The sequence below is a fragment of the Homo sapiens genome, chromosome 13, assembly GCF_000001405.40.
Source record: "Homo sapiens chromosome 13, GRCh38.p14 Primary Assembly".
Taxonomy (NCBI): domain Eukaryota; kingdom Metazoa; phylum Chordata; class Mammalia; order Primates; family Hominidae; genus Homo; species Homo sapiens.
The window spans coordinates 23,367,825-23,393,846 of record NC_000013.11 but is presented as its reverse complement, the minus strand read 5'-3'; the positions used below and the strand labels follow the sequence as shown (position 1 = coordinate 23,393,846).

General features: G+C 43.4%; 1 protein-coding gene and 1 pseudogene across 16 annotated transcripts in view, besides 5 other annotated features; one reads left to right on the top strand and one right to left on the bottom strand.

The window, feature by feature from the left end:
- SACS (sacsin molecular chaperone) overlaps window positions 1–26,022 on the top strand; it is a 104,873-nt gene that overhangs the window by 39,856 nt on the left and 38,995 nt on the right. For 8 of the 16 annotated variants that reach the window (XM_047430261.1, XM_047430257.1, NM_014363.6 and 5 more), the window contains exons 3-5: window positions 18,578–18,728; window positions 22,682–22,769; window positions 25,360–25,445. In XM_047430261.1, coding sequence (XP_047286217.1) covers window positions 18,578–18,728; window positions 22,682–22,769; window positions 25,360–25,445 — 325 coding nt within the window. Of the gene's footprint in view, window positions 1–18,338; window positions 18,496–18,577; window positions 18,729–22,681; window positions 22,770–25,359; window positions 25,446–26,022 lie in introns of those variants that run through there. The other 8 variants (XM_047430263.1, XM_047430260.1, XM_017020539.2 and 5 more) reach the window with 3 other exon arrangements.
- Window positions 9,428–9,657: an enhancer, noted in NCBI's record as "active region_7454". NCBI's record gives its function as "activates an Ori minimal core promoter by ATAC-STARR-seq in GM12878 lymphoblastoid cells {active_cell/tissue: GM12878}" and the evidence as "EXISTENCE:reporter gene assay evidence [ECO:0000049][PMID:35858748]".
- Window positions 9,678–9,737: an enhancer, noted in NCBI's record as "active region_7453". NCBI's record gives its function as "activates an Ori minimal core promoter by ATAC-STARR-seq in GM12878 lymphoblastoid cells {active_cell/tissue: GM12878}" and the evidence as "EXISTENCE:reporter gene assay evidence [ECO:0000049][PMID:35858748]".
- Window positions 15,238–15,377: an enhancer, noted in NCBI's record as "active region_7452". NCBI's record gives its function as "activates an Ori minimal core promoter by ATAC-STARR-seq in GM12878 lymphoblastoid cells {active_cell/tissue: GM12878}" and the evidence as "EXISTENCE:reporter gene assay evidence [ECO:0000049][PMID:35858748]".
- Window positions 17,950–18,759: a silencer, noted in NCBI's record as "silent region_5172". NCBI's record gives its function as "represses an Ori minimal core promoter by ATAC-STARR-seq in GM12878 lymphoblastoid cells {active_cell/tissue: GM12878}" and the evidence as "EXISTENCE:reporter gene assay evidence [ECO:0000049][PMID:35858748]".
- Window positions 18,800–18,869: a silencer, noted in NCBI's record as "silent region_5171". NCBI's record gives its function as "represses an Ori minimal core promoter by ATAC-STARR-seq in GM12878 lymphoblastoid cells {active_cell/tissue: GM12878}" and the evidence as "EXISTENCE:reporter gene assay evidence [ECO:0000049][PMID:35858748]".
- RPLP1P13 (ribosomal protein lateral stalk subunit P1 pseudogene 13) lies at window positions 19,831–20,424 on the bottom strand (annotated as a pseudogene).

The following is a 26,022-nucleotide window of genomic DNA, read 5'->3' as shown; positions in this document are numbered from 1 at the left end:
GGAGCTTGCAGTGAGCCGAGATCGTGCCACTGCACTCCAGCCTTGGTGACAGTGCGAGACTCCGTCTCAAAAAAAATAAAAAAAAATAAAAAAAAGAATACCAAGAATACTGAGGTAGGGCCAAAAGGGGCTCTTTATTAATAACAAAAGACACTCCTATCACTCAGAAAATTCAAGAGTTTTAAGTGCTGTGTGCCAGGAGTCAGGGACAAAGAAGAAATATAGGTTTTTGATGAGATCACAATGGGAGTACTAAAAATTCAGGTGGTAGAGCAGAGTCCAGTGTTCAGGAGAGTAGGCAGAACAGTGGGGTCCACGTAGCTGAAGACAAGCACAGCCAGGGACGAGCAGGTGGGCAGTAGAGGGCCAAGGAAATGAGCAGCGAACACGGGTGATGAGGGACAGGGGAGGACGTGGGCTTGGGGCCATGACCTAGTGCCAGTAACCCAGAAACAGAGCCAGGGCCCAAAGAAGGAACAAGTGGATTAGCCATATTCCACCTGTCCTAGGTTTCAGGAGTTCATGAGGATAAATAAAGTCAGTGAATATTTACACACATATCTCCATGGCTCCAAACTCCAAACTTGCTTGACAAGACCTTAACCTCCATGCTTCTCTCATCTGCTTAAATTCTTCCCCAGCTATTTCTGGGTGTCCTTGGAGAGGTGACGTCTCACATGGGCTTAGGAACAAGTTTGTTCATGTTCTTTCCATTTGAGCCTGTTGGTCCAGGGGCCCTGCCGTGGCTTTGCAGCTGGTGCCCTCTGAAAGACGTTACTGCCCTGCACCCAACTACCCTGTGAGCCCAAGGTGACTGCAACTTGTGGGTGGGGTGGTGAGGGTTGGTGAATGGCCTCTCCCGATGTCTGTGCTTATTGTGTTTTCTGGGAGGGAGGTGACTATGCATGAACTCAGTCCTGCCCAGTATTTCATGAACACTGTGGCTTCATCTTATGTTTTCAGAGGCTCAAAACCCGTCCTTCACATGTGGCCAGGAGAGGGGAGAGAAGGGCCTGTCTTGTCCCTTCTATGGCTTCTCCCTCCTCTTTTTCTTAGATACCTCTGCATCCGAATGAAACAAAACTCTCAACAAATATCCTTCCGCCTCCTTTAGGAGAAAACAAATTGTGTAATGGAAAGAGCATAAACTTTTAAGCCAGACATCCTTGGTTTGACTCAGCTTTGCCATTTGCTAGTCGTGTGGCCTTGAATCAGTTACTTTTTTCATATCATGAGGAAATAATGTTAGGGATTTTGCATGTAGAACACTTCACATAGTATCTGACACAGAATGAGTGCTCGAGAAAAGGCAACCATTGTTGTTATGACTCCCTTCTCCAGAAACAACACAAAGCCTAGTCATTGGAGGCATTGTATTTTCTAAGTGTGTGAATGACTCTCACACCCCAAAGTGCCTGTCATTTCACAGGCGTTCTAGGAAAGGTGCTGTCCACCACTGTCTCAGCCTAATAAGCAGTTAGTTGCAAACCTGGCTGTCTAATCCCACTTTGTTGATTTCAGGGATTTTCTTTTTGCCACTGTCATCCCTCCATATGTCCAAGTATGCCATAGTCTGTTTTGGGGAGAGGCATACCAAGTGTCTTTGGCCATTACATAGGAAATGCAAGATGGAAAGAGAGGGCCCGGTTACAGTCCTGATGAGTACCACACAGTATCTTTAGGAAAAGAGTCATCAAAAGGCAACAGGATGCCTCCTGACCGTCTGAGGTCCTCGTCAAGTTGGGGGGACCCGGTAGACTTGGTTTCCCTCAGCTCCCAGCTCCGGGCTCCATTTTACTGCATCCTGGGAGACAGGAAAGTCAGTCTGCATGCGTGATTCTGAGCCCTTCCTTGGAGTATTTGCAGTCTGCATCTGGTCTGCAAAAGGTGACTCATTGTTGGCTCTGTCAGCTTCTGAAGGGTAAGGGATCCATGTTCCATGTGCACATGAAGGAACTCAGGGAGGAAAGGAGGGAACCCACACTGATGGGCACTTTGCAGTACTTTCCTGCCAATCTGGCATGCTGTACCTGTCACAGTCAGTTTGATTCCCTTTCTCCCTCCTGGATGGAATAGGCGATCATACTGTGTGGAGTATTCTACCGGTCAGGCACCCCACAGTCCAATTAGGATCAATCATGGGTTTATGTGCAAAGGGGGAAACGGAACCATGAGAAGCCATCCTGGAACTTGGGGAAAGTAGTAGCTGTGGCATCATGACCCTCTAGACCCGAGGGACTAGGGGAGGAGCAATTACTTGAACCTTGAAGGGCGCAGAGTCCCGATGTAGAGCAAGCTCCCTGAGAAGGACAGTGACCTTGGGCTGAAGGACATAACCAGGCCCTGGTGACGCTGCAGGAGGCATGAATTCCCTGACCGTACTCTCTTCCTTACTCCCAGCTCCTGTGGGGACTCCTTATGGGCCAACTCCACCTGCAACCAAAGTGACCACAGCCCTGTTGCCCAAAGAGGCCAACCTGAGCCGGAGAGCTGGGTGGGCAGAGCCTCAGGGGCAAAGGGAAGACATTTGGAGTCTGTGGAAAGATGCTTGGATGTTCACCTCCTTCACCCAGAATTGACAGTAATCCTTTGCCTGACTTCCGTGCCTCTTGACCTCTTTTTAAGAATTTTATCATGAAAAATTTCAGGCATGTACAGAGGTATAGAAAAATATCACTGGGAGCATTCACAAACTCAGTGTGCAGATTCCACAATGATTGAAATTCCGCCACATGAGTTTATATTGACCTTTTTCCTTGTGTTGGTATTTTAAAGCAATTCCCAGAGACCCTGTGTTGCACTGGTCCCCAGGCACGGCCTGTGGTGGCGTCTGCACTGAGGGGTGCAGGCGTGTGGTAGTGTTTCTCAGACAGCATGGTGGTCACCTGGAGAAGCCCAGAGTGGCCCAGGGCAGGTTTGGGCTGGAGAAGGAGGGACTCCTGTGTGCAGCACCAGAGCGAGCTCAGTGTAAACACCTGAATGAGGGGCATGACAACACATGAACACGCTCGCTACTTAACATCTGCGGGCACTGGAATCAGTGCTCTTTAGACACGACGAGGGATGGCTGCCTTCACTGAAAAACAAACTGATAGCTTCTTCATGAGAATAACATAAAACAAATGTATTACCCAGTATAACACATTAGGATTTTATTTACTTATTTACTTCTTATTTATTTTTCTGAGACAAGGTCTCACTCTGTCACCCAGGCTGGAGTGTGGTGGTATGATCATGGCTTACTGCAGCCTTGACCTCCCAGCTCAGCTTTCTGAGTAGCTGAGACTATAGGTGTGTGCCCCCACACACTAAATATAAAATTAGTCCCCCAGCTAATTTTTATATTTTTTGTAGAGACGAGGTTTTGCCATCTTGCCCAGGCTGGTCTAGGACTCCTGAACTCAAGCAATGTGCCTACCTCAGCTTCCCGAAGTGCTGGGATTACAAGTGTGAGCCATTGTGCCCAGCCAGGATTTTAAATGATCTCATTTGTTAAATCTCTTAGGGGTGGAATCCCATGTAGAAATGGTAACTTGGAGTCAAACAGACTGAAGATTTTTTTTTAATTAATCAGGAAAAATGATCTATGTGTGAACCTTTACTATAAGTTATTCTTACTTCTAGTATGTTGTGATTTAGAACAGTAGTAAGAAGAAAAATACTGCAGAAATAAAGCACTAATTCTTTTCAGAGCCAAACACAGTTTGAAGCCTACAGAAGCTCCTAGACCAAGTAAAATAGGTTCTATAGAAATAATAAATTCTATACCCTGTAGAAAGAATAACTTTTAAACCCTTGTAGAGTGAATAGAAAAAAAACCAAATCCATTGAAAATTTGTAGAAAATATAAAACTCCATAATTGTAGGAAATATAAATATCAGAAAAGCTGCATAAAAGTGGTCGCATATTATTGTGACTTCTGGCATATGTAGATGCAGCCAAATAACTTGACATTTTGATGTAAAATTAAAATGCTCCCTTGTCCATCCCCCAACTCCCTGCAAAAAGAAGCAAAAAGCAGAAAGAGTAGAACTGATCCTTCTCACAGTAGAAGAAAATGATGGCTAAATGCAGAATACAAAAAGAACAGATTTTAGACATTGTAATTTGTTCTTTTATCTGCATAGAGGATGGAAGCAAATGTGTCCTTCAAAGAGAATCATGTACTACGTATCCCTTGTACACGTATTCCGTCCTTTTTTTAAATTAGAGAAAGCTTAGCTCAGACTTTCAGCTGAGACACAGAATAAGATCTTTCTAAATTCGGAGGTTGAAGTTTGGCAAGTAGAGCACATGTACTTTGCAGATACCATATTAAGTAAAATTAGTAACGTGGATGTAAAGACGACTTTCTAAGTGTTTGCCTTTTCCAGTGACCCTGGTCAGTGGGCAGAAATAAATCATCTTTATATCCACATGTTACTAATATATATATATTTTTTTACAATTCTGAATTTTATTTTGTAGTCATGCTGATTAGTAGACATTCAGTTCCTAGTTATAAAACCAACTCTAAAATTGCATTAATAAGTATTGGGCAACTTAATAAAGCTGTAACCTTTCACATCATTTCAGGAGCACAGTAACTATTTAAAGCCTTCCTGTAACTTAAAGACACAGGCTATATATATACACAGGCTATATACACACACACACATACACACATATATATATACACACACATATATGTTTTAGCTAAATGGTAGAGGGTACTAAGGAGTAATTAACAGATGGGTGTGTCTTTGGTAATTGACACATACAAGTTTCCATTTAAAATCTTATTAATAAATATATAAAGAATGTAAGACATTCAGCTCCATGCCTTGTCCATAGAAAACTCATGTTATGTATTTTTTGAATACATGGATTAAAATTTGGTATTTGCAAATGATACTTTCTTTTGGTTTCTGATTCTTTGGTATTTTATCACCCTGAAATACTATATTAAATTTATTTATTTATTTTTAATAGTTTTAGGGATACAAGTGGTTTTTGGTTACTTGGATAAACTGTGTAGTGGTGAAGTCTGAAATTTTAGTGCACTCATCACCTGAGTAGCGCACGTTATACCCAATATGTAGTTTTTTATCCCTCAACCCCCTCCCACCCTCCCTGCTTCTGAGTCTCCAGTGTCCACTGTACCACTCTGTATGCTTTTGTGTACCCATGGCTTAGCTCCTACTTATAAGTGAGAACATGCTATATTTGGTTTTCCACTCCTGAGTTACTTCGCTTTGAATTAATGACCTCCAGTTCCATCCAAATTTGCTGCAAAAGACATTATTTTATTTGTTTGTTTTTTTAATGGCTGAGTAGTAGCCTGTGGTATGTGTGTGTATATATATATATATATATATACACACACACCATATTTTTATATTTTATATATATTTTATATTATATGTACCATATATATATATATACACACACACCATTTTTTAAATCCACTCATTGGTTGATGGGGACTTCGATTGGTTCCATATCTTTTGTTTTTTCTTTTTTTTTTTTTTTTGAGACAAAGTCTCGCTCTGTCACCCACGCTGGAGTGCAGTGGCGCAATCTCGGCTCACTGCAAACTCCGCCTGCCCGGTTCACGACATTCTCCTGCCTCAGCCTCCCAAAGTGCTGGGATTACAGGTGTGAGCCACCGCTCCCGGCCCATATCTTTGCAATTGTGAATTGTGCTGTGATAAACATATGTGTGCAGGTGTCTTTTTGATATAATGACGTCTCTTCTTTTGGGTGGATACCCCGTAGCAGGATTGCTGGATTGAATGGCAGATCTACTTTTAGTTCTTTAAAGAATCTCCATACTGTTTTCCGTAGAGGTTGTACTAATTTACATTCCCATCAGCAGTGTGTAAGTGTTCCTTTTCACCGCATACATGCCAACATCTATTGTTTTTTGACATTTTAATAATGGCCTTTCTGGCTGGGGTACAGTGGTGTCTCATTGTGGTTTTAATATGCATTTCTCTGATGATTACACACATTATTACTTAATAGTACCTCACCGCCATATTCTCTGGATCCATAGATCATGTTGTAATAAAAAAGTTTAAGGGACAGATTAAGTTGCAAGTTCCTGCTAAGGAACTGAATTCTCTGCACCATGCTGTCCATTGGGTAAACTCCTGATATCACAGAAGCTGCATCACCTGAACTCAAACCACCACCCTACACAGGTGAATGGCAACTTCCCAGATAAATGGTTTAAAAACCAGCCGTCTATGAGGACCAAAAAGAAACGGTCAGGGTGACCAGGGGACCAGCTTATCTCTACAGGGTCTTCCAGCTTCGTAGTGAAAGTGAAGCCCTTAGAATGGCAAGTCCAGGAATACCTTATTTCATTCACAGACTTTTTTTTTTTTTTTTTTTTTTTCTGAGACGGAGTCTTGCTCTGTCGCCCAGGCTGGAGTGCAGTGGCACGATCTCTGCTCACTGCAAGCTCCGCCTCCCGGGTTCACGCCATTCTCCTGCTTCAGCCTCCTGAGTAGCTGGGACTACAGTTGCCCGCCGCCATGCCCGGCTAATTTTTTTTGTGTTTTTTAGTAGAGACTGGGTTTCACTGTGTTAGCCAGGATGGTCTTGATCTCCTGACCTCGTGATCTGCCTTCCTCGGCCTCCCAAAGTGCTGGGATTACAGGCGTGAGCCACCGCGCCCGGCCGACATTCGTTTTTAACAAATCGAAGGTTTGCAGCAGTCCTGCATCCAGCAAGTCTGTTGGCACCATTTTCCCAACAGCAAGTGCTCCGTTAGCGTGTCTCTGTGTCGCATTTTGGAAATTCTCATAATATTTTAAACATTTTCATTGTTATTATATCTGCTTTGGTGATCTGTGATTACTAATCTATGGTGTCACTATTGTAATTGTTTTGGGGTGCCACGAACTGTGCCCAAATAAGACAGTAAACTTAATCGATAAACGGTATGTTCTCTCACTGCTCTACCAACAGGCTGTTCTTGCCTCTCTCCCTCTCCTCCAGCCTCTCTTTTCCCTAAGACACAACAGTATTGAAATTAGGCCAACTAGTAACCCTATAATGGCCTCTAACTCTTCAAGTGAAAGGAAGAGTTGCAAGTCTCTCACCTGAAATCAAAAGCTAGAAATGACTAAGCTTAGTGAGGAAGGCAGGTTGAAAGCCAAGACAGGAAAGCCAGGCCTCTTGTGACAAACAGTCAAGTTGTGAATGCAAAGGAAGTGTTTTTGAAGGAAATTAAATAGTGCTATTCCAGTGAATACAGAAACTATAAGAAAGCAAAACAGCCTTATTACTGATTAGGAATCAATTTGAGTGGTCTGGATAGAAGATCAAACCAGCCATAACATCCCCTTAAGCCAAAGCCTAACCCAAACAAAGGTCTAACTCTCTCCAAATCTGTGAAAGCTGAGAAAGGTGAGGAAGCTGCAGAAGAATTTGAAGCTACCAGAGGTTGGTTCATGAGGTTTAAGGAATAAAGCCATCTTTATAACATAAAAGTGCAAGGTGAAGCAGCATGTGCTGATGGGGAAACTTCAGCAAGTTCTCCAGAAGATGTAGCTAACATAACTGATGAAGGTGACTACACTAAGCAACAGATTTTCAATGTAGATGAAACAGTCTTCTGGTGGAAGAAGATGCCATCTAGGACTTTCATAGCTATAGAGGAAAAATAAATGCCTAGCTTCAAAGGACAAGTTGACTCTTGTTAGGGGCTAATGCAGCTGGTGACTAAGTTGAAGCCAAGTTCATTTACCATTCCAAGGATCCTAGGGCGCTTAAGCATTATGCTATATCTACTCTGCATGTGCTCTATAAATGGAACAACAAAGCCTGGCCGACAGCACATCCATTTACAGCATGGTTTACGGAATATTTTAAGCCCACTGTTGAGACCAACTGTTCAGAAAGAAAGATTCCTTTCAAAATATTACTGCTTATTGACATTGCACCTGGTCGCCCAAGAGCTCTGATGGAGAAGTACAAGGCGATGAATATCGTTTCCTGCCTGCTAACACAGCATCCATTCTGCAGCCCACAGATCAAGGAATAATTTTGACTTTCAAGTCTTATTATTTAAGAAATACATTTTATGAGGCTATAGCTGCCATAGATAGTGATTCCTCTGACGGATCTGGGCAAAATGAATTGAAAAGTTCCTGGAAAGGATTCACCATTCTAGATTCCATTAAGAACATCCATGATTGGCCAGGTGCTGTGGCTCATGCCTGTAGTCCTAGCACTTTGGGTGGCCGAGGCGGGTGGATCAGCTGAAGTCAGGAATTCGAGACCAGCCTAACCAACATGATGAAACCTCATCACTACTAAAAATACAAAATTACCGGGCATGGTGGCACATGCTTGTAATCCCAGCTACTTGGGAGGCTGAGGCAGGAGAATCGCTTGAACCCAGGAAGCGGAAGTTGCAGTGAGCCAGGATCACACCCTTGCACTCCAGCCTGGGCAACAAGAGCAAAACTCTATCTCAAAAAAAAAAAAAAAAGAACATCCATGATTCATGGGAGAAGGTCAAAATATCAACATTAACAGGAGTTTGGAAGAAGTTGATTCCAACCCTTGTGGATGACTTTGAGGAGTTCAAGATTTCATTGGAGGAAGTAACTACAGAAGTGATGGAAACAGCAAGAACTAGAATTAGCAGTGGAGCCTGATGATGTGACTGAGTTGGGGCAATCTCATGATAAAACTTTTTTTTTTTTTTGAGACAGAGTCTCCCTCTGTCGCCCAGGCTGTATTTGTATTTTTAGTAGAGATGGCGTTTCACCGTGTTAGCCAGGATGTTCTCGATCTCCTGACCTCGTGATCTGCCTACCTCGGCCTCCCAAAGTCCTGGGATTACAGGCGTGAGCCACCATGCCCGGCCAGGAATGTACATTTTTAAAGACATAATGCTATTTCACACTTAATAGACTATAGTATAGTGTATAAACATAACTTTTATCTGCACCGGGAAAACAAAATATTATGTGACTTATTTTATTGTGATATTCATTATATTGCACTGGTTTGGAACCAAATCTTCAATATCTCTGAGGTATTCCTGTGCCAAAAAAATGAAATTTTGGCCCAAAAAATGAAAAAGTTTTAGATCCTGCATGAATGCCAATGATTCCTTCATTCTCTGGTCCTCCACAGTCTGAATCCCAACTCCCCTTGGGCCCTGTTTTTTTCACCATTACATCTCCCAAACTAATATAAAGTGAATGGGTGCATCTCTTCCTTAGGCTTTGAAAAATTGTTTTGGAGTTTGCTGTGAAAGGATAAATCAACTCACAACTTTCTCTAATAACTAGTTTATTAATATCTGTCCAATAAGAGAATTATTAAAGAAATGAACACAAAACAGAAAAGTTAAGAAGGACTTCCTTTTCTTCCCCTAATTTAAATTTGTACAGAGATGGTAAGTGGTTATAGTGAGTGGTCATGACAAGCCACACATGTGAACATCACTACATTCGCTTATTTGGCAGTGAATGATGTGGAACACAGAGTGACATACAAGAGGCCATGATCAAGAGGGACTTTCCATAGTTGATGAGTAAATGCATTTCATTCCTGTGCAGTCACTGATGAGTGGAAGTTAAATGCTGAAGATGTCTACGAAGGCGGAAGTCACCTTGCACGGGCTTGGCTAGAGAAAGCCTTCTGCTCTTCTGCCTGAGCACTGATTGATGGGTGGAAAATCAGTAATGTTATTTGAGTCTTCCCATCTCTGATGTCTTTTATTGCTACCTCCTGAAATGTGAAGGAGTGTTTCTAATACCCCATTCATGCACTTAACCACTTAAGTATGAGATCAGTATTCTTCCATTACATGATTTAAGGCTGAAGTTCTAGCTTTTTAACCAACCCTCCCCAGAAAGACCTTGCGATGACCCTTCTTACTGATCTCCATCCTGATTTGTGCACACATTTGCTGGGTTCTGTGCCAGGCACTGGGGTTGGGGAGAGGGTGATGGTGTGAACAAGGGATATGGAGGCATGTTTTCTGCTCTTGAATGTCTCCAGAGGGGGACTTAGCAAGTAAATATGTGGTTTGTGTAATATGGAAAGAGCTGGGATGGGTGGATATACAAAGTATTCAGAGAGAGTAAGAAAGGAGACATAAGCGTCGTTTGTCCTGGACTTATTGCCGTTTTTCCTTAAACAGTGTTGGGGGGAGAGAGACAATTTTGAAGTGACATTTGAATGGGGCTATCAAGGGTGGGCCATCAAAATTGAACATGGAGGGAGGAGCCAGATGCTGCAGGAGGAAACAGAATGGGCTGAGAAAGGTGCAAAAAAAGCAGTACAAAGGCATGAACAGGCCTGCAGAGCTCTGGGGCTGTTCAGGAAGGAGGGATGGAGACAAGGCTGGGAAACATTTGGACATTACGATGCAGGTAACTTGAACTACTAAAAATATCTTGATGCTGGGGAGGGATTTAGTCACACTCGATTATACAATAACTTGATGGTAATATGAAGGGTTGATTGGAGGAGAAAGGATGTGGGGCAGTGAGAACAGCTGGGGCCCTGAGTGGTGGCCTGAGTAAGGGACAGGAGAGAGCTGTGCCAATACCAACAGGAGGTGGCAATGAAGCCAAACGATATTTATCGTGGTCAAACACTTCGACATGGTGGCTGATTGGATGTGTCAGTGGAGGGTTTTCTGAGAATGACCACCGTTTATTACTTGCAATATTAATTTTGTAGCTATAATATTTTCAGATTATTTAAACCAAAATTGGAAAATATTCAGAAAACTGAAAAAGTGACAAAGGCTTAAAACCCAAACATACACATCACAGTTTTAATTACCAATGAATTTAAAAATATGTTTTCTATCCAGCCTGGGCGACATGGTGAGACCTCGTCTCTACCAAAAAAAAAAAAAAAAAAAAAAATTAGCTGGGCATGGTGGTACATGCCTGTAGTCCTATAGTCCCAGCTACCCAGGAGACTGAGGTGGGAAGATCTCTTCAGCCCAGGAGTTTGAGGCTGCAGTGAGCCATGATCACACTACTGCACTCCAGCCTGGCAGCAGAGCTAGACTCTATCTCAAAAAAAAAAACAAAAACCACACACACACACAAAACAAAACAAAACACAAAGAATATGTCTCTCTGCCCTAAATGGTTTTCAAATTTTTGAGTTCTTTATGTAAATTACTTAGCCATTATAGTTATAAAGATTATAGAAATAGTGAACAATCATGATTTGTTTAGATTTAGGATTCGTTGAGTTCAAATATACATTTGAATATTATTATTTGCTTCCCCGATTAAAAAATTCATTTTTGATGATTCAGAAACATCCATTTTTATAATTAATGAGTAAATAAACTTTTTTTCATTTTATAACTATTTAATATATCCAATGCATCTCTATCAAGAGAACATTTGAAATGGTTTGGGAAATGAGCAAAATGTAAGATTTTAACAGATGAAGCTTCAATTCAATTGTAATCATATAAAATCCATTTTGCTTTTTATGGATCCATTCCTAATTTTCCTTCAAAATCTCCCCTGACCTACAAAAAATTAGCCAGGCATGGTGTTGGGTGCCTGTAATCCCAGCTACCCGGGAGGCTAAGGTAGGAGAACTGTTTGAGCCTGGGAGGCAGAGGTTGCAGTGAGCCGAGATCACACCACTGCACTCCAGCCTGGGCAACAAAGCGAGACTCCGTCTCAAAAAAAACAAAAAACAAAAAGCAAAAAAACCTCCGCTGACCTATTTCTAACTGGCGTTTTCTTTGTGTCCCCTCCAGTGGTGGATGCCTGCCAACTACTATAATTGTTCTACAGAACAGCAAATGTGTGCAGCCGTTTATAATCTTTTCTGTATGAGGAAGACTGTAGCATGCTCCTCTTTTAATAATAGGCAAAGAAAATAAATTGGGTGTTAGTCTTCACAAATGCAAAAATCTGTAATTTTGTGGATGGAGTTTCTATGATTCATTTTTCCAAGTTACTGTGGCAAAGGCTCTGCACAGCAATAAAGTAATGATAACCCATTGAACTGTTCATTGACAATATCACCCTAACTCCAAATATTTAGAAATGGGATTTAAAAACTTGTTTTTATTTTAAAAAACCTTTAATGAATGTAAGCAAGAAATAGTAAAAATACAATATGATAAAAACAAATAGTTCCCATTTGTTTTTTATAAATAAACTCATGTTTCTCAATTACTTCTGACCAGAGGATGTTAGTTTAATCAAATCAACGTCTAGGGATTCTATCTGAGACAGCACCTCAAAACAAAATAAAGGGCAGAACTCAAGTGACTGTCAGTAACTGAAAAGAAGTAGAAAGTGTAAGATCACACCCTTTTTGCTGAAGGTATATATCTCTATTCTATAATTCATGCTTGTGTATTGATCCTGTGCAGGCTAGTAGGAGTGTTTGCCTGTGTGTGTGTGTGCGCGCGCTTCATGCTGCCCACGTCCAGCCAGAGTGTTTGCCTGTGTGTGTGTGTGTGTGTGTGTGTGTGTGTGTGTGTGTGCTTCGTGCTGCCCATGTCCAGCCAGACTGTGATATTGCCATGCGCTGGAGAGCACAAGACAGTGACAGGCCTGAAGAGAGACCTCAGGACACTGGGCCCTGATGAGCACTGCGCATGATCTTTAGAATCTCAAGCAAAGGGTTGATTTCAGTCCCTTTACTCCAAAGCTGCAGGCAGCACAGCTTAGGGAAAATCAAGTGGAGCCCTGGGTTCCAATCCTGACACTTGCATTTGCAAAGAACTTTAGACAAATTACAAACCATCTTTGGGTCCTGCGTCGTGATTTATGATGGTGGATGATAATGTCTCATTTTCAGGTTTATCTGGGAATTGACTGTACTAGTGTGGATGTGACGGGTTCTACACCTATTTGGTGATAAATGAGTTAAAATGAGTACTGTTCCAACTATTGAATTTTTTAAATAATGAACCCCAAATTTGTCCATCTCTGGCGCCACAGAAACTTTTACGGATGAAAGCCACTCTCCTATTTGAAGAGTATAGCATGTCCCCTCGGGTCATCTTTTCTTCAGGGTAAATCTCTCTGTTACGTCAATAACTGCTGCATATGGGGATATGTACAGTGATTAAAGGCTTTCAGCTTGTTCAGAGCACAGTTAGGTCATGGCCCTGTGTGTGGTCTTGGGCAATTACAACGTTCCTGACTCTGTCTTTCATCATGTGTAAAGTAGAAACAATAATGCCTCATAGGATTTTAGTGAAGATTAAATAAGATAGTGTTTGCAAAGCATTTAAGATGAAGAAGTGTTTGATGCCTACTAAGTGCTCAACTAGTGACAGCTTTATTATTATTATTGTTGTTATTATTATTAGGCTTGGTTTCGAGTTTCTCACCCTCCCAATTGGAGCTTAAAATGAATGATTTTGTGGCTATTATTTCAGAGACAGTTGCAGGACTGACTTTTCCAAAATAGGAACCCAGCGCCCCATACAGAAATTAAAATCCTTTGTTAAAATACAGATAAACTTGGAAGAGGTATTAGGTATTGGTTGTGAAGAAAGCCCTTTGGTTTCCTTCCTGTGCAAAGAAGCAAGCAGTGCTCAGAGGGCGCTACCAAGGCCGGTGAGAATGGTAAGTGCTGCTGACAGCTGCCCAGTCAGCATCATCCTTTCTAAAGAGGTGGGGGAAGTCAGTTCTCTTTGTAAACACACTCTCCCTCTCTTTCTCTCTCTCTCTCTCTCTCTCACACACACACACACACACACACACACGAGGGAATCCCAGGGCCACTGTGGGGTGAGACCTTCCTCAAGAGCAGGAAGGATGTTGAGGAAATAGTGTGGCCCAAATGGGAAGAATCAACGATGTCATGTGACAGGTAGATCAGGCTGGGAGCTGAGCTCTGGAATGTGCTTGGGGATAAAAACAATGAGGGAAGAAAAGAAAAAAAGAGATTTCATTCCAGGTATAAGACCAAGCAGGAAGGCAGTGTCTGTCCTGCCTGGGGCATAAAGCCATGGTGGTAGCCCAGGGAAGCCCTGTTCATAGAAGACAATATCTGGGCAGTTGGCAGCAACTAATGTCTTAGATAGGTTTCCTTGACTTTAGGACTCTCACTTTTATGTTGAAATTATATTTATGTTTGTGTATCATCCTATTCTTCAATCTCCTTACAAGCAGAGGTGTTGCTGTTATTCCCATTATCTTCAATTTCCCAGCACCCCACAGAGGGTCTGTCCCACAAGCAGTGTGCACAGTTAACGTTTACTCAACACCACAGAATTGGGGACAGGGTGGAGAAAAGAGTAGGGCACATAGGAGAGGGAGGTGAGGTTGAGGTGAAGAGATTTGAGGCGCTCAAGAATCCCTTTGCCTGCTCCCTGTATTTTCCAGCACTGGCCTTGAGTGTTCAGATGCCAGTGCAGAAGGAGAGGGAGAGGAAGAGTAAGAGGCCCAGAGTGAGGGGAGCGTGAGGAGCCCACCCTCATGTAATTCCTGCCTGGCTGCTGTGCCATGAGGTGAGCAGTCCCCGAGCACAGGCACCAGGCTTCTTTGTCGGGACACCAGTGCCTGGCACTGAGTAGGTGCTTCACATTTTATGACGTGAATGAACAGGAGAGGAACACCTCCCAGGTCAGTGCCTCCTGCCACCTCACAATAAGCCTGGGAGGAAGGTGGCACCATGTCCAGCTGTACAGGTGAGAAAGAGAGTTTAGAGCTGTGACCTGTCCACGCTTTCCCAGCAGCAGGCGCGAGAGCTGGGGTCACACCCTCGATTCACTACCAGGGAGCCTGGTAGAGGAGGGAGAGGGGCAGAACATCAGGAACAACTCAGAAAAATAAAGGAAAAGCAGAAGGGATATTAACTGACTGGAAGAGTAGCAAGAGTTGGAAGACAGAAAAAAGGAACAAGTGCATCAGAGTGTATTTTGGCATTTTTTACTCTATTCCCTTTTTATATTATTTCCTTTTTTCAGTGTATTCAGTTTTATGATGGAGTGTTTCACAAGTTTATATGATAAGTTTCCTACTATTGTATCTAGAGCTGAGCTTCTGTTAAAATACACTAATTATTAGCATGCATTCAGTTTAATCTACATGCTGCTATAGCCAGCTCACTCTCTTTCCATATTTTCTATAAAATGTTGCAAGAGCCAGGCGTGGTGGCTCACCCCTGTAATTCTAGCACTTTGGGAGGCTGAGGTGGGCGGAAACACCTGTGGTCAGGAGTTCAAGACCAGCCTGGCCAACATGGCGAAACCCTGTCTCTACTAAAAATACAAAAATTAGCCAAGCATGGTAGTGCTCACCTGTAATCCCAGCTGCTCGGGAGGCTGGGACACAAGAATTGCTTGAACCCAGGATGCAGAGGCCTGGGCGACAGAGCGAGACTCTGTCTCAAAAAAGAAAAAAAAAATTTGCAAGAGAGGATGTTTAATCAAAGGTGGTGATCGACGTAAGAGGAACTGAAAAACCTCATGTGGTTTTAATATTCCTTGAAATGGTGGGTGCAGCTCAAGATGTGTCCCTCCACTATCCGGGGGCCTGAGTCACGTTTTTCCTTTCTAATGCTAAGTCCTCTCGCATTACTCACTGACTTATGTAAGCGTGACTGTATTTCCAGCCCTCACTGGTTAATTTTCTTTGGCAAAGCTGTCTTTGAATAACCCAGGATTTCTGGCAACCAAACAACAAACTCTCATTAAAATGACCAGTAGACTCAAAAGCACCATGTAAAATCTGTACAATCCTGTTTTCTCCTATTTTGTACAGCACTCTAGGGAATTTGTAATGCCCTCTTTGGAAGGAGAAAAGGCAGGAATGCTAACTCAGAAACATGACCTCATTTCCCAAAGCATGTTTAATGTCGCTAAAAATAAAAGCGAAGCAATTGTGTCTACCTGAGCACAAAGAGAAGAAAAGTTTTGTCATTTTTCTGGCACATGGTAATTGAATCTGGCCTGTCCAATAAATTCCATCTGGACCACTGGGATATCCCACGGAGGATCTACTCTTGGGACTACTCTGTGCCAGGCAGGGATGTTGGAGCTGGAATCCAGGAGCCCTGTGCTGGGTTCACTCCTGGCTCAGAAGGAGACAAGGCCAGGAGGAGTGGGCCAGGCGTTGGACGGGAGTCTCGCAGCACTAATGCCTCTTGAAGTATCTGTCACTCCCACCACAGATGCTGGGGCTGAGGTTGAATCTGAAGGAGGAGTGGGTACCGGGGAAGGAAGGAACACATATGCACAGGCCACACAGGAGAGCTCCGAGAGCGAATGTGATGTGCTGGAGCCTGGCAGGAAATGTGGTGGGTAGGAAAGTCAAGTGGAGGGCACTGGATGGAGGGCATGGACAGGATAAGAAGATTTTATTTTATCCTGCTGATGTATCTATTTGGGAGCAAAGATGTCTGTTCTGACCACTCTGGTAGTGGACTGAGTACATTGTAGGAAGAGAGTAAAATGAACAAACCAACCACCAGGCTCCACGGAAAAACCGAGGTTTTTCATTCCATGTTTTCATTCAAATGGTTTTGTTCCCAGAGGTGGTCCAGGAAAAGCCTTTGCATTCACATCAGCTACATTGTGAATTTTTTTCAGGTATAACTCACATACCATAAAATTTGCCATTTTAAAGTGTACAATTCACCTGGTTTTAAGGATGTTCAAAAAATTGTGCACATTGCACTACTAATTCCAGAACATTTCCACCATCCCCAAAGAAACCCCACACCCATTAGCACTGCCTCCTCGTTCCCTCCCCCCACAGCCCCACTAATCTACTTTCTGTCTATGGGTTTGCCAATTCTGGACGTGTCATATAAATGGAATCATACAACATGTGGTCTTCAGTGACTGGCTTCTTTCACTTAGCAGAATGTCTGCAAGGGTCACCCATATTGTAGGATGATTCACTACTCCATCAAATTCTATGATGAGTTTATAGTTTTTCCAACAAGAAAACCAGGTGTGTGCCACCACACCCAGCTTATTTTTGTATTTTTAGTAGAGACAGGGTTTCACCATGTTGGCCAGGCTGGTCTCGAACTCCTGACCTCAAGTAATCCACCCGTCTTGGCCTCCCAAAGCGCTGGGATTACAGATGTGAGTCACTGCACCCAGCCAAGAAGTACATATTTGGCCCTTAGGGCTTTCTGGCCTTGTCTTTATACTGAATCACCATATTCTCCTCCAATTGATGGAGCATACTTACTTACCTCTCCCAAGTAGGAAGAGGCATGCATGACTTCTATCATTCCCTTTTTAACTGTGGTAAGAGAGATGGAACAGCTGTAGAACATTCTCTGTATTTACTACTGATGATGAGTTCTGAGTAATAATTTTTTTTGGGGGGAAGGGAGAAATGGCAATTTATTATCTATTTTTTGGGGCAACTCTAAAATTTAATTCTGTTCCATTCAAGGTATTTAAAATAAGGAGCACACAAGTTTACTTGTTCATGATGTAGCCTTTGAATTGCCTTAATAGATGTCACTTTTTTTTTTTGCAATGTGTATCATATATACCTAAGAGAAATAAGCCAAAGGAACAGCCTGAGGTTCCCCCAAGCCTCTAAGCCCCACACACTTTCAAATTACATGGCAACTTTACTTATCGTGGGGCGATTTCATCAACTCTTAAGACTCATGTTCCTGCTTTCAAGGAGCTTGCGGTTGTGATGGGAAGACATTCAGGCTACCAACAATATAATATTGCCAAAATAAGTTACAAATATTTTTAACGTGTCATAGGATACATTTATGTGCATTCTGATCTTACTTTGCTGCTGGCTCTCTTTCCTCCAGCAAACTGAGCCACTGATCCTACTTCTGTGCCTCAAAAACCGAGCACAGAACGAAACCGTGGAAGACACTTGTGTTCTGTAACCAGCACGTTCCCTTCTCGGAGGCCACTATAGATCTTACTGGAGATGCTTCCATGGAATGAAAGTCATTAGAGTTCAAGGAGACACAGGCCCTAGAAATGCCTAGTTCTGCATTTCAATGCACTGTTGAGCTCTAAAAGGGACAACGCACCTGTCCTCTAGCTGTACGCTCTGTATACCCTTATTGGGTTTGCCTTCTGGCAGAGGCGCCTCTGCAGGCGGGGCGGGGCCTGGCAGGCGGAGCCTGGTGGGCGAGTGGGGCGGGGCGGCTCCTTCGCTAACTGTCCGGATTGGGCAAGACAGAACTTGACTGGGCGGGGCCTGGATGGGCGTTCCCTGGGGGCGGGGCCTGGCGGGAGGGGCGGGGCGGATCCCCAGCTAACGGTCCCGGCGGGTGGGCGTGTCCCCGCGGGCGGCGCCTGCAGGGCCGGGAGTGGGCCGGGAGCGCGCAGTCCCCGCCCCCGCCTGCTCCTCGGCCGCCGCGGCTTCCTCTAGCGTTTCCTCCTCGGCGCGGGCTGCTGCGTACGGGACTGCGCCATGCGGATCCCGCCCTCCCGGCCCGCGCGGGGCCTGTGGACGCGGTAGGGCCGGCCGTGATCGGGCGCCGGCGTCAGGGGCGGGCGCTAGGGGCGCCTGCCGCGCCGCGATGTGGGAGAGGTAACGCGGGTGGAGGCCGCGCGGGCGCTGGGCGGGCGGGTGGCAGCCGCAGCCCGACTGAGCGTCCCTCTGCTTTCCACAGGTGGGTCCCGGTGACCGTGCTCCCCGGCTGCGTGGGCTGCAGGACCGTCGCGGCGCTGGCGTCCTGGACCGTGCGCGATGTGAAGGAACGTATCTTCGCGGAGACTGGCTTCCCGGTGTCGGAGCAGCGGCTGTGGCGCGGCGGCCGCGAGGTAGGCGGTGGCCGGGGGCGCTGGGCTGGGCTCCGCCACGCGGAGGAACGGCGGGCGTCGAGGGCCCGGGGTGGGCGACGCAGGTTTCCGCGGGCGGCGCGAATGACTCCGGCAGCGTGGCCGCCTGTGCTTGTCCTGAGTTGTGGCTTTTCATCACTTGCCTTTTCCGTTTGCATCCCCCACCCCGAACCCCACCCATCATTTCATCTGAATCTTCACTTTCTGAAATTCAGAGATTTTTTTTGGTGGACATTGGAGTCAGAAGTTTTTTTTTTAGACATCATCAATGAAGTGATTTAATCATTACTCATTTATTTCTATTTATGTAATAAGTTTAAGTAGAATGTTGGTAAATATCTTCACCTTTGATATATTGGAAGTTTTTTCTCCATTTTTGATACAGAAATTTGGCACTGAAAGAATCTTTAGACATAATTTAATATAGAACCTGTTATCTTGGGGAGTAAACATACTAAAACTTTTAAAGTTCAAGTGATAGGTTGACTTGATAGGTCAGAAAATTTTGGAAAACAAGAATATTGTTATGTATTCTTTAAGATTGGTTAAAATTCTATAGCTTTCTTAAAGGGAGAGTTCAGTTGAAGACATTTTACTGACAGTTAACTCTTTTAAAACATTTCTTTTTTTCTAATAAACATCTTCATGTGATAACATCATTTCCAGCATTTAAAAGAGTCACAAAGAGTTGAACAGATAATACAAGGAATACTTGAGCGTATAGGATGACATTTCAGGTGTTGAATTTCCTTACTACTCGATACAAATATTATTGGTGAAGTAGTTGGTATCTGTGATTTTTCCTGCTTCAGTGTAATCCTGACCTTCTGTGTACTTGAGTCAGTTTTCTAGTCCTTTGCCCTCCTTGACACACATTTATTACCTGTTTTCATGCTCCTCGGGGGATTCATCAGTCCTTCTGATCAGTTCCCCAAGGTGTTCGTTGGCATGCAGACATTGACTTGATTGAAGTCTTTATTATTTATTTTTACTTTTTTAAAGAGTTCAGCTTTTTACTGAACATGCTGTAAAACAGGTCGGGTCAAAAAGTCCAAAGCCATGTCATCACCAGAGTCGTCAGATTCTTTGCGTCCACTTCCTTGTGCTCAGCTGGAGCAGCGGCAGTGGAGGGGCATGACTGGCCTGTGGATGAACCCCTAGCCGCTGGAGCAGGTCCTCCAGCCCCTACATTGCAGAGGAGGCTCCTGATGTTGACATTGGCCAGGGCCTCTGCAAACAAGCCAGGCCAAAAAGGTTCAGCATATCCCCCGACTGCTTTTTTTCCTTTTTTTTTTTTTTTTTTGTGAGACGGAGTCTCGCTCTGTCGCCAGGCTGGAGTGCCTGCAACACTCGGCTCACTGCAACCTCCGCTTCCCTGGTTCAAGCGATTCTCCTGCCTCAGCCTCCCGAGTAGCTGGGACTACAGGCGTGTGCCACCACGCCCAGCTAATTTTTGTATTTTTAGTAGAGATGGGAGGCGGCGCGGGGCGGGGGGACGGTGTTCACCATGTTGGCCAGGATGGTCTCAGTCTCTCGACCTCATGATCCGCCTGCCTCGGCCTCTCAAAGTGTTGGGATTATAGGCGTGAGCCACTGCGCTCAGCCCCCCGACTGCTTTAATGAGGGCATTGATCTTAACCTCCATGATGGACACCTCATCGTAGTGTAGAATGAAGGCCTAGTGAAGTCTACAACCGCTGAGACAGAGGCATTTGAGTGCCGGGCTTGTGCTGCTGCACCGGGTGCTAGTTGCTGGATGAAGTGAGGGCCTCACCCCAGCATAGCCTTAGCTTCTTTGGAAGGAATGGACCTCTTGGTGGCAGTTGGAGAGGCTGATTGAGGACTTTAGGCAGACTTGTGAAGGAGCAGTTTGTCATTCTTACTCCTTTCTCTATGCCTGCCGACATCTCTTAACCTTCCTCTCCTGGGTCTATACCCACTTCTTTGGTTCCTCCTCTGGTTCTACTTGATCATCTTGTCCCCTAGATGTGGTCACACTGAAAGCCTCCGTTGTGGCTAGCCCTGCCATTTAGAAGTGCTTTTGCAGGGTGTCCCTGCAAAGCATGGATATGGGATGGTGAAAGTGGCAGGGTGTGTTGACTGTTTGGGATTGGGGGTGTGGGTAGACAGGGGTCTAAGTAGGACCCTTTCGTCCTGGTATGAGGTAATGAGGTTCTGGACTGTAGCTGTAAAGGTGAAACCAAAGGAAAGGATATACAAGAGACTTTGCAAAAGTCAAAATTGCCACAATTTGGTACCAAATGGATGTGGATGTGGGGGATGGGTGTAGAATAAGTTGGAAGGTCTTGCCAAGGACGTTGGCAAGCTTTGAGTCAGACCAAGAAAATAAAGACGTAATCATCAGAGATAAGCACATACAGAGGGGGAAGTATGATGACCAGTTTGCTTTTATATATAGTTCAGCTGTTGGTGAGACATAAGGCAGCATAGCATCTAGGAAACTAGGAAGCGGAGAGGTGGGTGCCTTAGGTCCTACTTCCTGTCCTGCCTGTGTATATGTAACAGTTGCCAAATTAATTCATGTATTGGGGACTGATTTCCTATTTCTAGTATGAATGGGATAAAGCTAATTCTAACCAATTCTAAAGTCTCTGCTAGATAGTGATGTTCAGTAGGCAGCTGCAAATCTGGAACTGAAACTCAAGGGAGAGAGGTCAGGCTGGAGATAGTAACTGATGCTGGGCACGTTGCTCCTTCTGTGTTTTGGTAAAATGTGTTGAGAATATGCTTATCATTTATTGAGCCGCTGTGTTACAGATACTGTTCTATGCATGAGGGATTTGTCCTGGTCTCCTTACTTTCTGTACATCATTTTCATGCTAGTCTCCATCTCTAGAACACAAAACTGAGTATGCTATTACAGGTCCCAGATTATAAATACTTTCATGCACGTATTCCCACTAAACCTTAAAGCAAGCCTATAAAAACTAGTTCACTCTTTGCACAGGTACTTCGGCAGGAGGACCATTCTTCACAACAAAAATTTAGAAACAACTCAAATTCTGTGACATATTAATGACTATTATACACCAATTAAAAATGAATTAACTAAACTGTACACAAATTTAAAAAAAAATTTTTTTCAAATAGAGACAGATCTCACTGTGTTGCCCAGGCTGGGGCTTTCTTTTAATAATTGTTTAACAATAGAATGATCATTTATGATGATGTCATTCAACCAGAGAACAAGAACAGTGTTAGTACTTACCTCTGTGCATCTTCTCCCCAGCCTGTATTCCTGTCCCTCTTTCCTTACCCCTTTGTGCTGATTATTCTCTTGCCTTTTTGGTAGTTTTAATAGTTCTATAAATGTGTGCATTTGTGTGTATACTTACGTATGTATGGATATGTGTTATGTTTGTATATATGTGCATATATGTTTGTGTGTGTAGCCTGAATACGTAACCTAAACAATATGCTGTTTACATTCAGTTGTTTTTAAACTTAAGAAACATTGTGTAGGTAGCAACTTAGAGCCAGCTTATTTTATGCAATCATATTATTATTCATCTAAACTAATTTAAAAACAATTTTTTTTGGTCCTCTAATATGTGTTGAGGTCTCATGGAGCTCTGTTATGAGCAATACACTTTGGAAATGTTGATCAGAAGAATGATTTTGTTTATGTTAATGATCCCGATTCATCATTTAAAAATTTAAATTATGTTAATGGAGAAATATATATATTTTTATCTATTTGTAATTAACGAAAAATCTTTTAGTCCCTTAAATTTTTAAATAAAGTTTTTGACTAAATCTGTGTTCCGTGGAATATTCACTTCTCCAGACAACTTCCTTCATGATAAGAAGACTTAACAAGCATTACTTAAGTGAAAAAATTTGAGATAATGTCTTGAATTTACAGTATTAGAGACTGTATTGCTTTTCATACATTTTCTTTTGCTTTTTTTCAGTTATCTGACTGGATCAAGATTGGAGATCTGACTTCCAAAAATTGTCATCTTTTTGTAAACCTTCAATCAAAAGGCTTAAAAGGGGGAGGTATAATATTGACTTTACCAGAAGTATATACCATGTTGGGTTGCACAAAGATTGAGTTTTTTTGTTTGTTTGTTTGGTTGGTTTTTGAAACTGAGTCTCGCCCTATCGCCCAGGCTGGAGTGCAGTGGCACAATCTCAGCTCACCACAACCTCTGCCTCCTGGGTTCAAGTGATTCTCGTGTCTCAGCCTCTGTTCAAGTGATTCTCGTGCCTCAGCCTCCCAAGTAGCTGGGAAAACAGGTGCCTGCCATCACGCCCAGCTAATTTTTACATTTTTAGTATAGACAGGGTTTTACCATGTTGGCCAGGCTGGTCTTGAACTCCTGACCTCAAGTGATCCACCGTCTTTGGCCTCCCAAAGTGTTCGGATTACAGGCGTGAGCCACCGCTCCCAGCCGAGATTGAGTTTTAACAAAGAAGCAGGGAGTAGAATGGTGGTTGCCAGAGGGTGGGGGCAGGGAGAAATGGGGTGTCATTGGCCAAAGGTACAAAGTTTGCTATATGAATAAAGAAGATCTGGAGATCTTCTATACAGTACAGGGCCCATGAATAACAATACTGTGTTGTATTCTTAAAAACTTACTAAGTGGGTAGGGTAGATCTGATATTAATTACTCTTACCATAAAAGTTTAATAAAGCACAACAGAAGAGATGGGAGGAAACTTTTGGAGATGATGGATAAGTTTATGGCACTGACAATGATAGTTTGATGGTTTCATGGTACGTACTTATCTCCAAATGCATCAAGTTGCAAAATAAATATCTGCAGTGCTTTGTATTTGAGTTGTACTCAATAAAGCTGTTTTAAAGATTATGTTTTAAAAATGAAATGAAATCATATCCCATTGGGATAGAGTGAGGGGACATCAGGGCCAGAGGAAGACAAGCGTGGATGGAGCTAGTTATAAGAATGAGTGGGGGCCGGGTGTGGTGGCCCACACTTGTAATCCCAGCACTTTGGGAGGCCAAGGCAGGCGAATCACGAGGTCAGGAGATCAAGACCATCCTGGCTAACACAGTGAAACCCTGTCTCTACTAAAAATAGAAAAAATTAGCCAGGTGTAGTGGCACGCACCTGTACTCCCAGCCACTTGGGAAGCTGAGGCAGAAGAATCGCTTGAACCTGGAAGGCAGAGGTTGCAGTGAGCTGAGATCGCTCCATTGCACTCCAGCCCAGGAGACAGTGCAAGACTCCGTCTCAAAAAAAAAAAAAAAGAAGTGTGAGTGGGATAGGCTGGGCATGGTGGCTCACGCCTGTAATCTCAGCACTTTGGGAGGCTGTGGAGGGCGGATCACAAGCTCAGGAGATCCAGACCATCCTGGCTAACACGGTAAAACCCCATCTCTACTAAAAAATACAAAAAATTAGCTGGGTATGGTGGCGGGCACCTGTAGTCCCAGCTACTCAGGAGGCTGAGGCAGGGGAATGGCGTGAACCTGGGAGAAGGAGCTTGCAGTGAGCTGAGATTGCGCCACTGCACTCCAGCCTGAGCAATAGAAGGAGAGTCCGTCTGAAAAAAAAAAAAAAGAATGGGTGGGATAGAAGTCTGTGGAAACAGAGTCTTGTTTGAGCTTGGTCTCAGTATGTGGTTGTACCAAAATGACGCAAATAAATTTATAGTGACAATTTTGCTTTTTTAAGCAGAGGTTTCTTTATACTGATAAACAGATTTTTGAAATGCTGTGTATTTGAGGCATTACTTCCCATTTTCTTGTTCTTCCTACAGCCCTGTCACTTGTCTGAAGGTGACCTGGTCAGTTGGTCTAAGAATATCTAGTTTAGGCAAGGCTTGAAGGTACTTGAAGTGGACAGCCATTGAGACAGTGACTGCTGAATTTCAGAACAATCAGAACACTGGTTGAATTTGAGAATATTAAGAATGTGATAATAGGCACCTCTGTCTCTGGCTTGTTATTTAATGGCAAAGCAGCCACAAAATAACATCATTTATTTTATTTGCTTTGGAAAATATCAACACTCCTCCCCACTGCACCATGCTTCTTGTTTTTGAATTAATAGTTATTATATTTTTGAACATTTTTTGAGACTTTATTTGTAGTTCAGTTAAAAATCTTGAGGCCAGGCATGGTGGCTCACGCCTGGAATCCCAGCACTTTGGGAGGCCAAGGTGGGCGGATCACGAGGTCAGGAGATCAAGACCATCCTGGCTAACATGGTGAAACCCCATCTCTACTAAAAATACAAAAAAATTAGCTGGGCATGGTGGTGGGCACCTGTAGTCCCAGCTATTCGGGAGGCTGAGGCAGGAGAATGGCATGAACCCAGGAGGTGGAGCTTGCAGTGAGGGGAGATCACACGACTGCACTTCAGCTTGGGCGACAGAGCGAGACTCTGTCTCAAAAAACAAAACAAAACAAAACAAAACAACTTGAGATTTGATACAATTGAATCTGCTTTACTTTCTGCTGAATTGCTTCGTCAGGTAGATTTCTGTACCAGGGTGCTGCAGTGAGATATATGCAACCATAACTTGTATAGTTATATGATGTCTCAGATTCAAGTCACACATTGGTGACAATTCATGGGATTTTTTTTCTAACTCACTTAAAATGTGCTCCGTATTTTAGGTCGATTTGGTCAGACAACGCCACCACTTGTTGATTTTCTCAAGGACATTTTGAGAAGATATCCAGAAGGAGGACAGATTCTTAAGGTGGGGCACATGTCGTGTTCATGTGTTATTTACTTTGATAAAAATGAGATGAAGTAAATTTACTTGAAAGTCCTATTAGTGTTTAAATTTTTAAAATGTTGTCTAGATTCAAATAGCTGTATTATACCTCTGTGGCTGCAGTGTATAGCAGTGTATAGCTCCATTTGAGAATGGAATTGATATAAATATGTGAGGTTTTCTGGGGCAAAGAAATGCGCTAAGCTACTGGGTGCTGTAATCAGCAGTGTCGCTCCGGGAATGTTCTCTGTAGATCATTGTGCAGGGCTTTACACGTCAACCAACCAACCAACCAACCAACCAACCAGCCAGCCAGCCAACCGGCCAGCCAAATACATTCTACGATTAGAGGCTTGAATGCATGCCCATTGGACTCCTGATTTTAGAGGTTTGCTATTTTGGGAGGGTTTATTTAATAGGATAATTATTTTATTTACTTATTTCTTTTTGTAATATGTTTTTTTAGTTTGATTATACTCTTTAAAAAACAGGCTGGGCGCAGTGGCTCATGCCTGTAATCCCAGCACTTTGGGAGGCTGAGGCGGGTGGATCACCTCAA